Genomic DNA, 12,853 nt, shown 5'->3' on the forward strand with positions numbered 1-12,853 from the left:
TTAGCATATATTTTCTCATGGAAATAAGGATAGCCATAGTGATTAGTTTTTTCTTTTTTAAACTTGCAGTTCTAGGAACTGTGCTAAGAACTTCATCTGTATTTCTTTATTCAGTGGATTAGGAATGTTTTCAGCCCCCTTTTCCAGTGATGGTTAAGTAACTTGCCAGAGGTTGCACAGGTGGAGAGAGCAAGGGTGGGAACTGATGCTGGATGTCCCTCTCCAGGGTCTGTGTTATAACTGGGCTGATGCTTCTCACTGCAGCCCATTTCAAAGAGCATGGAGCTAAGGTACTGCCTTTTTCTCCCAGTCTTATTTTCTCTCACTGCAGCTTTCATTGTGAATATGCCATATTTTGGCCACCCTTTCCAGCTAAGTCAATTTTGATAACTATCCTGGGGACCCAACTTTCCCTCAGAATATTGTTTGCTGAGAAAATGTTTTGGATCCCACCATGGGCTTTTAAAACCTATATACTCCTCCTCTTCACCTCTCCATCCAAAGATTAATCTTCTCCTGAGGTCCTTCCCAGGTTGGATGCTCTTCTCTTATGAATGACCAGAACTGGTGCCTCACTTCTGGAAACCTCCAGATGAGTGGAGAGCTTTTGCTCCACCCTCAGTATACACCTGGTCTTTGCTGCCTCACCTCGAGCTGGCCAAGGGCACCTTCTTTAACACGAGTAAATAAGCCATTCCTAGACTTCTGCCCTTTTAAAGGCATTGTTAGTGCTGAATCGGTACTGTTTGTGAGCAGTTTTGGAGCATCAAATTCAGGCAAGGAGAGAAGCCCAACCACCCACACTGTCAGCATTAGATCTGCCTAAAATAACATCACTGAGATATCAAACCTTCCTTGTTCTGGTTATGGCATCATCTAGAAATGAAAAAAAAATCATGTTAGATTATTTGCTTGGGCCTACAATTTTATTTTGGATCTCTATTATTATTCTAAAAAGGGCCATTTAATTTCCATCTTGGGAATTTTCTCCTTCAGTTCCTATACCAAAGAGAAAACAGAACTTCTGTTCATTCCAGAGGTGTAGAGCCGTATTGGCCCAGCTCAGAAAATAGAAGGCATAGCAGAGCTGCCTGTGAGATAGATAGGTGCCATGTGCAATTCACAGAGCTCCCTCACCATCCTAGAGGCCTGCAGTTCTCAGGGGATCTTCCTGTGGGTTAATACTTGAGATGCTTATGCAGGGAGGAACTGGGTCCCTGGGATGCGAGGGGAGGGAGTCACCCATGCCTTTATGAAAGATGCTTCTAGCGTCCCGCACATGGTCTGCACCTCCTGATGCTAGGTCAGGACTGAATTGTATAAAAGGCAGAAGCTTCTGACAGCACCTCAGTCTACCTGTCTCCTGAGTGATCTGCTGCAGTGCCTGAACCAGGTAGAGTGCTTCTCAGGACCAGGATGAACTCTTGGTGCTGGTGTTTTGGGCAGAAAGAGCCCCTGGGTGGAGGTTGAGGCCATTCTTGAAGAAAGACAAGGATAAAGAAGGATTTTGGAGGGGAAGGTTCTTCTGGAAGGGGAGGGTGGAAGGTAGGTAAAAGGAATGAAGGACTGATGCCTTTCTGAAGTTCCAAGTTATTCATTTGAAAATATGGAGTTACTAGGTGGAAATCATTTGTATCATTCTTGTTACTGGTCTTGGGAGACTGGGTTTTTAAAATCTGGTTCATCTTAGGCCAGGAGTAGTGGCTCATGCCTGTAATCCCAGCACTTTGGGAGGCTGAGGTGGGCGGGTCAAGAGGTCAGGAGTTCGAGACTGACCAACATGCTGAAATCCCGTCTCTACTAAAAACACAAAAATTAGCTGGGTGTGGTGGTGCACACCTGTCTGAGGCAGGAGAATCACTTGAATCCGGGAGGTGGAGGTTGCAGTGAGCCGAGATAGCACCACTGCACTCCAGCCTGAGTGACAGAGTGAGACTCCATCCCAAATAATAATAATAATCATAATAATAAATTCTGGTCATCTTAGAGATAAAATCTTGTGAAATTATAGTTCAATTTTAAGGGCAAGGAAGTGACCTTGGGCTTGTATTGTCTTTCAGCTTTATTCAGCTTCTACAGAGATGTCCTGCCAGCAGAGCCAGCAGCAGTGCCAGCCTCCTCCCAAATGTACCCCTAAATGCCCTCCCAAGTGTACTCCTAAGTGTCCTCCCAAGTGTCCCCCAAAATGCCCTCCCCAGTGTTCAGCCCCATGCCCACCTCCAGTCTCTTCCTGCTGTGGTTCCAGCTCTGGGGGCTGCTGCAGCTCTGAGGGTGGTGGCTGCTGCCTGAGCCACCACAGGCCCCGCCAGTCCCTCCGACGCCGACCTCAGAGTTCCAGCTGCTGTGGCAGTGGCAGTGGCCAGCAGTCTGGGGGCTCCAGCTGCTGCCACAGCTCTGGGGGCTCTGGCTGCTGCCACAGCTCTGGAGGCTGCTGCTGACCTGGGCCATGAGGAGCACGGAGGAGAAGGACTGGCAGATCCCAGGTGCTGAAGATGTGTGTCAGCCTGAGGCTTCTTTTCTCTCATTTCCCATGGAAGGACTTCGGAAATGCCTTAAGTTCCCCTCTTTATCCTGCCCATGTTCACTCCATTGTAGGGTTGAAGTCTAGCTTGTGATATTTTCTGGCCTGGCTTTCCCTCTCAGACATAGCTCTTTGGAGAACTAGGTGTTGTAATTCAGTTATGAAGCTATTTTCTCTGTAACAATAAAGCTTTTTATTCCTGATATCACTGCCTCCTGATTTCATTGTTTGCCTCTCCCACTCCCTACCTGCTGCATCAAGCCATCTTCCCTTCCCTTCTCTTAAATGCAAGCGAACACTTTACAAACTTGTTTAGGAAGCACATTTTGGCAGTGAAGCTACTTAGGCCTCTGGAAAACAATATTTCCTTCTATGCACTGGATTCTGGAACTTTAAGCTTGAAGGAAAGAATAATGTCTGAGACCATTACGCCAGACACAAGATTGTATGAGGAGAGCCAGGAATGGGTTTGAAGAGAAGAGGATGGTTGTACTCAAAAGGTTCAGGTTCTGAGAGGGTTTCCTTCAAGCATGGGTCACAGTTTGAAAAATTGCTTGTCCCCATTCATGGGGAATAAGATTGCCTGAAGTGCTCATCCTGGGCTCTAATAAATGGACACTCTTTACTTTTCTGATTATTATAAGCTCAGGTGTTTCCATCAGTTGGCTAGAGGGAGAGCTGGGTGGGCAGTGAGTGAGTTTTGGAGGCAGATATGAAACGTCTGAGCACATTTTCCCTGCATGCTGAAATCCTGGATTTGAATCTGGGTAAAGAACTGAGAAAGACACCCTTCTTTGCAAAGACTGTCTCTATGTGGTTGGGACGTACGTGTGTGTGTGTGTGTGTGTGTGTGTGTGTGTGTGTGCAGTGAGAGGTATAAGAGTACAGGGGTTTTGGTCCCTGTGTTGGGTTTTCCAAGCAACATTTCTTTAGGAATGGGCTGGTTCCTTCAGGAGACACTCATAATGTACCTAGAAAAGATAACTAGAAAAGTTAATTCCAAATCAGCCTTTAATATAAAAGATAAACAATTGATGCCTCCTTTGATAAGAGTTAATAGCGATAAATAAAGTAAGCTGGTTTATGAGATCATAGGATGCCCACAGAATGAGTAGGCACTTGCCCAGATTATCTCCTTATACTGATTCCTACCAAACGTTCTTCATTCTTTTTTTTTTTTTTTAAAAGAACTTTGCCCATTTTCCCAGAGGAGATCCTGCCTCTGTCTTGTTATTTCATTACTTCCTTCTCTGTTCTAATATTGACTTTACTTTTTGGAATGTCTCACCTATACTCACCAACAGGTGCTCTAGGAACTGGCAACCTGTTAATCAGGCTCTAAATCCATGTTAAATGAAACTGGTATCTTTTGTGACTTATCTTTCCTCGCCTAGTCCCTTGAGCCACTCCCAGCTCACTCGCCCCCAAACCTGTCTCTCATCCTTAATTCCTGAATTCTTAGTCTTGGACTTCTGTTATAGTTCACATTCACAGTTGTGGGCAATTTGATTAAGAAGCAGTTCTGAAGTTGACTGCCAAAGTATCCTCCAATTCTTAAAAATTAGTTATTCTGAAAACACTATCTATCATGAACACTTTGGACCTTTGGAAAGAACTTTCTTTCTTTCTTTCTCTTTTTTTTCTTCTTTCCCTCCCTCCCTTCTTCCTTTCCCATTTTCTTTTGCACTGGGCAGTGGCCCTAGGGAGAACTTATCTTCAAAGGCAGATTGGTGGTTGGGGGTGGGATAAGAAGCAGGAGTCCCACAGGCTGACTAGCCTTTTTGCAATTGGGCCACTGTCCTGCACACATTTTTCTCTTTGTCATACCATGCTGTATTATGGGGATATGGCAACCTGACTACATTCACAACTTTTCTGGTCTTATGGTTCCTTAACTTTGCCTAGGTTTTTCTTCCTGTCTCCAGTGACAGAGAGAAATCACCCCTGGGGTTCCCAAAGGTGCATCCCCGTCATCATCTTCACTCACTGCATCTTGAAGCATATGGATGAAACCCAGCAGGCTTATCGCATAGCTTGTGGTCTGCCCTGGGGAGCCAAGGACCAAGAGCCAGAGAGATGAGAATCAAGATAAAAATAGGTGAACTACCACCTACCAAGTAGATGACTACATAGGAATGGATGTGTGGGCAAGTGGAGCCGTCTGTGTGTGTGTGTGTGTGTGTGTGTGTGTGTGTGTGTGTGTGTATTGAAGACAAGGGCAGGGGTTCCAGACCTCCCTGCATTTGAGCCCCATGCCCTCTCTTAGCATACACACAGCCTCCCAGGTACAAACAGTGCCCTGTTTGGAAAGTAAACATGCCATAGCAATCCTGGCACCTCTGTGAAGTGACTTAGATGCCCACATGCACCACCTACAATGCTACCTGAGTGATGAATGTCTCTGGGATGTGAGTGTCAGCTGAGCACGTCTGTTGGGAAATGGGCCCCTCCCAAGAGCCTGAACCTGAATACTTCTTATAAAAAGGTTCTCTGGCTGGACGCTGCTCAATCCACTGCCTAGCAGGTGGCCCATTCCAGTTGGAGAACGTAGTGAGTCTTTCAGTGGAGCCAGGGTCTGGTAAGTCTCCTAGCAGGGTCTGGGGGAGAGGGTGGGATGAGTTGAGGGCACAGGGGAGGAGCAAACAGAACACAGGCAGCAGATAGATGTGGAAGGGGTGTCCCGCAAGGCACCTACGCTTCTAGTGAGCCAACCTCTTAAGGTACTAATGAGGACATAAAGGCAACATAGGAGGTGGTTTTTGCAAGGGTACACAGCAAGTCCGCAGAAGAGCTGTGACTAGAACCCAGGTCTTTCAGCTCCCTGGATGGGGTTATTTATATTGGCACAACTCTCCTTTCCCACATGGTTGTGGGGCATGAGAGGCGTAGGCAAGAAAGAATGATCAGGACATGCTTCTGGCCTGTGGATTATTTAGACCCAGCAGGTGGGACCGCCTGTTGGACTTGGGTGTTTTCTAACTGATGGGGGTGTAGTAACTAGGAAGATACAGTCGAAGGTCGGTAGGAAAGTAAAATGAGGGACAAGAAAAAAGCCAAGTGGAGATTTTGGACTGGATCATACAGATAAGTTGCCGCAGTGTGCTGTTTATTTTCCACTGTGGAGAACTTGAGCAGTCTTCTTCTAGTCAGAGAAAATGGAAATGCATTGATTCATTGCATGGATTGTGTCCTGCTCTGAGCATGTTTAACTCACTGGAAACACCTGCTTGGATTTGCTTCTTTGCGTCCGCTCTTTCTGGGTGCTTTTCCCTCCTTGTCCCAGGCCAGGCTGACTTGTACACTAAGCCGAATCTCAAAAGCCCAGACAGAGTTCCATTGGTGGAAAGAAAAAGCCGGCTCGCCTTTGAAAGGCTGCCTTTCTTCCAGGTTTGTCGTGAGGAGCTCCGCGATGTCCTCTCAACAGAGCGCCGTTTCCGCCAAAGGCTTTTCCAAGGGGTCGTCCCAGGGCCCCGCTCCGTGTCCCGCCCCGGCGCCCACCCCGGCGCCCGCCTCCTCCTCCTCCTGCTGCGGCTCCGGCAGGGGCTGCTGCGGCGACTCAGGCTGCTGCGGCTCCAGCTCCACCAGTTGCTGCTGCTTCCCAAGGAGACGCCGCCGACAGCGGAGTAGTGGTTGCTGCTGCTGCGGGGGCGGCAGCCAGAGGTCCCAGCGCTCCAACAACCGGAGCTCAGGATGCTGCTCCGGCTGCTGAGAGGCCCGCAACCCCCAGCGCTGCGCTAGAGAAACCCGCCCAGCCCAGAGCGGGCCCGCCCCGCTGCGGCTCCCACGCGGGGCTGGGCCTCGGAGTTTGCCCCGTAAAGCGAATTGCACTTTGATGTTCAGAAACCCACTTTGTTCTCAGCCACGCAAAACTCCCTGACCCCGATGTGATTTTTCTCCCCGGGGATTCGAGAGCCATGCGTGGGACACTGGACCCTACTGTCTACACGGGCTTGCACACAGCAGGTGCTCAGCAAATGTCTATTGATTTGATTGTCTTTTGAAGATGTCATAATAAAGCTTCTACCTCCTGAGAACACCTTTTATTTGTTCTTCATTCGTTTCTCCACCCAGGTAGAAAGGCTTGAAATGTTTGTGAAAGGCAGAATACTATAATTCATGCCTGAACAAGAAGGTGGCTTTCTGATAGTTAATTATGATAGCAGCGATCACATATCGACTGTTTCGAGTATTTTAAGGATTTTATGCGACAAAGTCCTTGAATATTCTCAGGACTTTATGTGGCACAATCTGATTCTCATAATGACTTGCGTAGGAGAGTGCAATTATACCCATTTTACAGAAGAGAAACTGAGGTTAAGTAATTTGTTCAAAGTCACCCAGCTGGCGCATGATAAAGAAGACAGGACATCTGATTCAAGGGCTTCATTGCTCTGCTGAGTTCTCACCTGGGCTTCCCAAGCCTTACCACTGAGGTGCTCCTCCCGACCACCAGGTCCAGGCAGCTGTGTGGTAAAAGTTTGTTTTGGCAACTCTTTGGGGCTTTGGAATCAAGCCAGCTGTCTTCTTTTTTTTTTTTTTTAGTTTTATGTCTTATTTTATTTTTTATTTTTGGCATGGAAGTTCATTGACCTACTGCTTTGCTTGCTGGGGAGGAAATTTTTCCTAAGATGAGCCTTCCAGGAAACTGGGAGCTGCCCTCTCCAGGTCTCATTTGTGCAGCTGAAGCAGGACCAACAGCCATGGGTTTCTGGGAGTCTCTGTGGTGCAGCATGTGTGCTCGGAAACATGGGGATCTCATTCTTTAGAGATGGTGGCTGTGGCAGTGGCAATGGATGGGTCATCTTGCATAGGTCAGAAACCTATCCCTGTGGGCACAGATTTTATCCACTCATTTCAGGCACGAGGAAACAGGAGAACAATATCCTCTGCATGGTGTCTGCTGGGTTCAGAAGGAAGAGATAATCATGGTAATAATAATAGTAACACTAGTTACCATTTATTTGGCACTATATTTCAGGCACAAGTCAAGGCACTTTACCTATATTATCTCACTTAATCCTCACAGTAATCTAAAAATATAGACATTCACTTCCCCACTTTTTATACGTGAGCACATGGGTTTAGACAGTTCCAGTGGTTTGGCTGAAATCACAGAGCTAGTGAATGTCCCCTTGAGTGAGGGAGATGAGATTGAAACTGGAACCTGTGTGACTCCAAAGTCATGCCCTCACACTCAAAGAGTCATGCTCTACTGTCTTAGAAATCACCACCACACAGGGAAGAGACACTCGGGTCTCTGGACACACCCAGGCTCTCAGAAAATTGCAGCTCGGCTTCTTGGCTGCTGCTCCCTTGGTGACCCAATGAGTGGGGAGCTCTGTCATGGCATCCACCCAGCAGCTGGCGGCTGAGGGTGTCTGCTCAAAGGTGAGGTCGGAAATGCTCTACTGATTCATCCAGGATGTTTGACCTTGCGGCCAAATGACCCCTTGCCAGGGAGGCTCTGGAGGGCAGTCCTGCTCTGCCTGGGAGTGGCCCTTCCTTCCATGTCTGAGATTCTGTGATTTCCAGTGGGAGGTGATTTGTGGAAGCTGTTTACAAACAGATGATATCACCCGTGGACCTGCCTCCCCACACTAGTAATGTGTGCTGAAACAGCAAGCCCTGGGACTTGGTGGGCAGTGGGTGGGAAGGAAGAACTGCCTGACTCAGAACAGACACACTACGCAGCTAATCTGAGGGTGAGGGCTCAACCTGGAGCAGGAAGCTGAGGCCTGAGCTCTGGGAAAGAGAGGTGGTGACTCACGGAGAGATATTAGAGTCCAAATAGGAGCACATGCCCTGTACACCAGGCATTTGGGTCTCATGTCAAATGGCTGGCCCTGATGGTGGTGGTACCTCCAGGCCCACATGCTGCTGAAACCCAGCAGGTCAGCACACATGGACTTTGATGAGAGACATTTGAGTATTTTAAGAATAGTTTCATTTTAGAAATCTAGCAAGCGACTTTGGAAGGTCTAGAGCTCTCTGCTCATGGTCCTTCAGGCTTTTCTGATTTCCAGCAGTAGGTAAAGCTGTATGTGTGGCCCAGGCACTCTCTGTGAGGTGATGGTGGTGGATGCTGAGCCTGTGGGAAATTTGGCAAAGTGAAGTCCTACTCAGAGGTTGTCACCTGGTACACGTGACAGGCAGAATCAGGTTTCGTATTATCTCTGGAATAAATGGACATTATTGTTAAATATATTTTATTCATGATGGCTCCAATTTCAGCTTAAATTATATTATTATACTGGTAATAATAACAACTGATACTTATGTAGCATTTAGTGTTTATGAGGCGTTTCCACATATATTATCTCTTTCATAATTCTGTAACATAAGTATTACCATCTCTGTTTAACAGATCAGGGAGGGACTCCTACAGTTTAAACAACCCACCTGAGGTTATCCAGCTGATACGTGTGGTCTCTGTCTGGACCAGGCCTTCTAATGCCCTCTAAGAAGGCCAACAGCCACTTCTGAATATTCACTGAAATAATTGAATAATGGCACCCAGTTGATTACTTAGAGACAGTGCTGTATTCACTATTGCATCCCTAGTATCATGCCAGGTACATATTAAAGGTCTATAAATAAATGATTGTTTATTAGTGCATAATGTGTAAGGCATTGTGCTAAAGAATTCCACAGAGATATACAAAGCATTTCTGGACCTCAAGGAGTTTATAGTCTGATTCAGAAACTATGGTAAATAAAAATACAAGATATAAATGATAACTCAGATCTGAAATGCAAAAAATGTCACAAGCAGAACATGGCATAGGCAACTGCTCTAGGGATTCAACTGAGTTTAGATGAGGCATTGTGATACGACTTTGAATGAGGGCAAGTTACTGTGGACTGGATTATTTATAAGCCTTCATGGGAGGAAGGATCTGGGCTGGGTGTGAAGGATGGAAACACATCAGACGGGCAGAGATTCATTCATTTATGTATCTGTTCAACTCCATCAGACACTGTTTATGGTTCTGGGACAGAACCAGAAATAAGACCAAGGCCCTGCTGGCATGGACCTCAATTTCTGGAGTGAAGACAGACAAGAAAGTGAGCAAGGAAGTCAGATTATTTCACACCGTGAAAAGTGTTGTGATGAAAACAAAGAAAATAAAGGTATAAACATTAACTAGAGGTGTATGGGGATTTTAGATGGAGCTAGGCCAGGCCTCTCTGAAGACATGTTATTTGAGCAGGAGAAATAGGAGTTATGACACAGAGCAGGGAAGCCCATGGTTACAGGGTTCCTGCATCCATGGCAGCCTAGGGCTGCAGGTGTTTGAGGTGTGTTTTCAGTTATGTTGCCTCCACCAGACAGTTTCACTACTAGGAAAGTAACTTGGAATTCCAGTTTCTTGGCAGACAGATTTGCTAGTGTGATTGATCGTGTGCCATGAGGTTGGCATTATTTCATTGGATCCTCACAACTCTCCTACAAGACAAGTTTTCCCCACATTTTGTTAAGAAAACTGAAAGATAGAGCTGTTAGGTAGCCATCCTAGGATTTCCCAGCTTGTAATAGGAAGAACAAGGTTTTGTACTGGAGACATTTTCCTCTGAAGTCAATGTTCTGAACATTGTGCTACAGTCTGCATTTCTGGGAAAGAGGGGAGTAGTCTCAAGCTTGGACTAGGGGAGGAGAAAGGGGTCTCAAGGGAGTGGTGTTGATATTGAAAGACCCTGAGGACACATCTTCAGAGAAGGAGATAGGAGGCCAGATCATGGATGGTTTGGAGTGCCAAATCAAGGAGTTTCAACTATCTCATATTTGTGGAGTATGGTGGTAGGAAAATGGCTTTGAAAGAAGTACATTAGAGAGATAAAAGTTGGTTTATATAACATCTAGAGTACTCTCTGACATGACCCTAAGATTAATTAGGCAGCAATGATTAAGGTGCTCCAGAAGAGGAAGTTAATGGAGAGATTACCTCTGTGAGCAGGTGCAATGGCCCAGGCATGAAATGAAGATCTGAACCTGGCACATGGCAGTCATTACAAAAAGGAAATGACTGTTGTGAAAAGCATTTGTCCAGAAGGAAGAGGGATAGAATCAGGTGATGTATTGGGGTTGAGAAAGAGGAAGCAACTGGGGTGTCTCTGAGGTTTTGTGCCTTGTGCCTGGGAAATGATGACAGCATTGACAAAATAGAGAAGTCAGGAGAAAGAACAAGTGTGAGGAGGAGAGGTAAGTTTGGTCCAAGATGTGTTGGGTTTGACGTGCTGGCAGGACATGACCATGTGACAGTGATGTGGGGCTGGAACTTCAGACTCAGAATCCTTGAACATTGACATAAACACAATTAAGATAAATGGTAATAAGCCTTATGCAGCTTGGAGTCAAATCTTTGGGAATGAATGCAGTCCTATTTCTGCAGTGAAGGTTATGAGAAAATAGACTTGGTCTGTCTTGTTCATTGCAGCAACCTCAGTGCAAAGAACAGAGACCTAGGCAAGTAAAGGCACTCAGTGAATATGTGTTGAGTAAGTCAATAAATAAAACAGCAAGACAGAGTGCCCAAGACTTGAGTTGAGGGAGAAACGAAGCAGAAAGGAGGAAGTTGAATTCCGATCGAAGGGGGCAAAGATGATGAAGTCAGAGAAATTACTCAGATATTTGGCCTCAACAATTCATATAAGGTTACTTTAAAGTCTTATGTTCTAGGAATCTGGGCAGAAGGGAACCAGCACGATGCAAGAATGCAGAAGCTAAAGAATGTCAACCAGTCAGGGTCTTCCTTCCCACTGCGCGATCTATCTTTGGCATCTTTAAACCATTGAACAGTTATAGTAGGAAATTCCATCTGAAGGGATAGCAGTTTCATCCTAACTAGGTAGAACGGGTTGAACAGGAAAACTGGCATTCACATTGAGTAAAAAAAAAAAAATCCTCTCTTCCATGGATGACACTGCAGCAGGTCAGAATGATTTGGCCATGATAAATCTGAAACATATTATCTTGGCTCAGGTTGAGTAATAGTCAACCCTAGAAAAGCAAGCATCTCTTCTTCTCTTATAAACATTGCATCAGGGCAAGAGTGAGGGGTATTAAGCCATCTTATTTAATGATATATCTCATCCTTAAGGATTTATTAGTTCCATTGCCAATAATGTAGCTATATCAGCTCTGCATGTTTGGAAACTTAATTTGCAATTAAGTTCAAAGGCCATTTTTCCATGGTATGAAATAGGATTATATGTACTTGAAAGTCAGAAATTAACCATTTCCCACTACCCAAAATAATTTTCTGTTCATTAATTACTGCAATCTTCCATTCATAAACATTTATTGTGTACTTACTATATTTTAGGCACTTTGTGATACAAACAACTCTTCTCCAATAGTTTAGTGGGAAAGAGTCAAATATCATAATACTGTGTAATTTGATAAACGCTTTAAGTCAGCAATACAGAGAGGTGATGGCTCATTCGGCTGAGGGACTGGCAAAAGGTATTGTTTGAAGTTAGTCCAGAATGATGTGTAGGAATTGCTCTGGCTGAGAACGTAGAAAAGATATTTAATTTAAAGTAGACAACAGCAAGTGCAAAGGTTGGAAAGGTGATCATGTATTTTATAGAAAGCAATATTGCACGGCTGAAGATCATGGAAGCCAGAGTAGGTGAGATTATATAGCTAGTCGGGGAATAAATAAAGCAGGGTCTTGTATGACTCTTGAAAACTCCTGGAACCTTATCTTGGAGGCGACGTGGACCATGGCATTTTTGTGGCTTGATAGGTCTCTCTCTTGTGTTTTTAATTATACTGAAGTTACCTTAGCTTAAAAAAATGAGGGCATTAGCATCATTTCTAGCCACCATGCTCACCTATCTTCTTTTCTTAGTGTCTTCCCCAAATTTCAAAAAGTGCTCTTCATAGTTTTATATTTTACTTGAATCTTCCTTAACCTCATTGAATAATGCTTGTCCCACTAGCCATTCTGCTTGATCATTTCATCCCAGTCACCATGTCATCTCCTAAGTTCTGTGCTCAACAGTCTTTCTTTACTTCCCAGGGTCCCAGCCCTCTGGAAAGCATTGCCCACTCTTGGTCAGCTCCTGCCCCTCTATTCTGGACACTGCACTGCTGTCAGTGTTTTATAATTCACTGGGATTCTCCCCCGTCTCTTCTCTGCTAGTATTTCTGCTAGTTCCAATTCTAAATCTGTGCATAATAACTAAGGTTTAGCCCTTAGCTGTCTGACTTTTTCTTTCTACAGAAAAATCTCATTCATTCATTCATTTACTAATTCCTCACACTTTTATTGAGAACCTAATATGTGCTAGGCTCTTCATTAGGAGTTCAGATAGAAATATGTATCT

The 12,853-nt window shown here is 45.2% G+C and overlaps 2 protein-coding genes across 3 annotated transcripts; both read left to right on the forward strand.

Annotated features, from left to right (window-relative positions):
* Positions 1-1,349: 1,349 nt before the first annotated feature.
* On the forward strand, positions 1,350-2,724 carry LCE5A (late cornified envelope 5A). The gene is made up of 2 exons (NM_178438.5): positions 1,350-1,545; positions 2,061-2,724. The coding sequence occupies exon 2, from the start codon at positions 2,082-2,084 to the stop codon at positions 2,436-2,438; it is 357 nt and encodes a 118-aa protein (NP_848525.1). The 5' UTR covers positions 1,350-1,545; positions 2,061-2,081; the 3' UTR covers positions 2,439-2,724.
* Positions 2,725-5,028: 2,304 nt separating this feature from the next.
* On the forward strand, positions 5,029-6,555 carry CRCT1 (cysteine rich C-terminal 1). Of its 2 annotated transcripts, none has more exons than XM_011509656.3 (2): positions 5,029-5,099; positions 5,805-6,555. In XM_011509656.3, exon 2 carries the CDS (start codon positions 5,931-5,933, stop codon positions 6,228-6,230), a length of 300 nt encoding a protein of 99 aa, XP_011507958.1. In that variant the 5' UTR covers positions 5,029-5,099; positions 5,805-5,930; the 3' UTR covers positions 6,231-6,555. The 2 variants fall into 2 exon arrangements, with proteins under 2 accessions (XP_011507958.1, NP_061933.1); NM_019060.3 differs by having other exon boundaries at positions 5,909-6,555.
* Positions 6,556-12,853: the final 6,298 nt, after the last annotated feature.

The sequence above is a fragment of the Homo sapiens genome, chromosome 1, assembly GCF_000001405.40.
Source record: "Homo sapiens chromosome 1, GRCh38.p14 Primary Assembly".
NCBI lineage: Eukaryota > Metazoa > Chordata > Mammalia > Primates > Hominidae > Homo > Homo sapiens.

Excerpts from the sequence above, each read along its gene's own strand:
- LCE5A (NM_178438.5), top strand. The coding sequence starts at position 2,082 with ATGTCCTGCCAGCAGAGCCAGCAGCAGTGCCAGCCTCCTCCCAAATGT.
- CRCT1 (XM_011509656.3), top strand. The coding sequence starts at position 5,931 with ATGTCCTCTCAACAGAGCGCCGTTTCCGCCAAAGGCTTTTCCAAGGGG.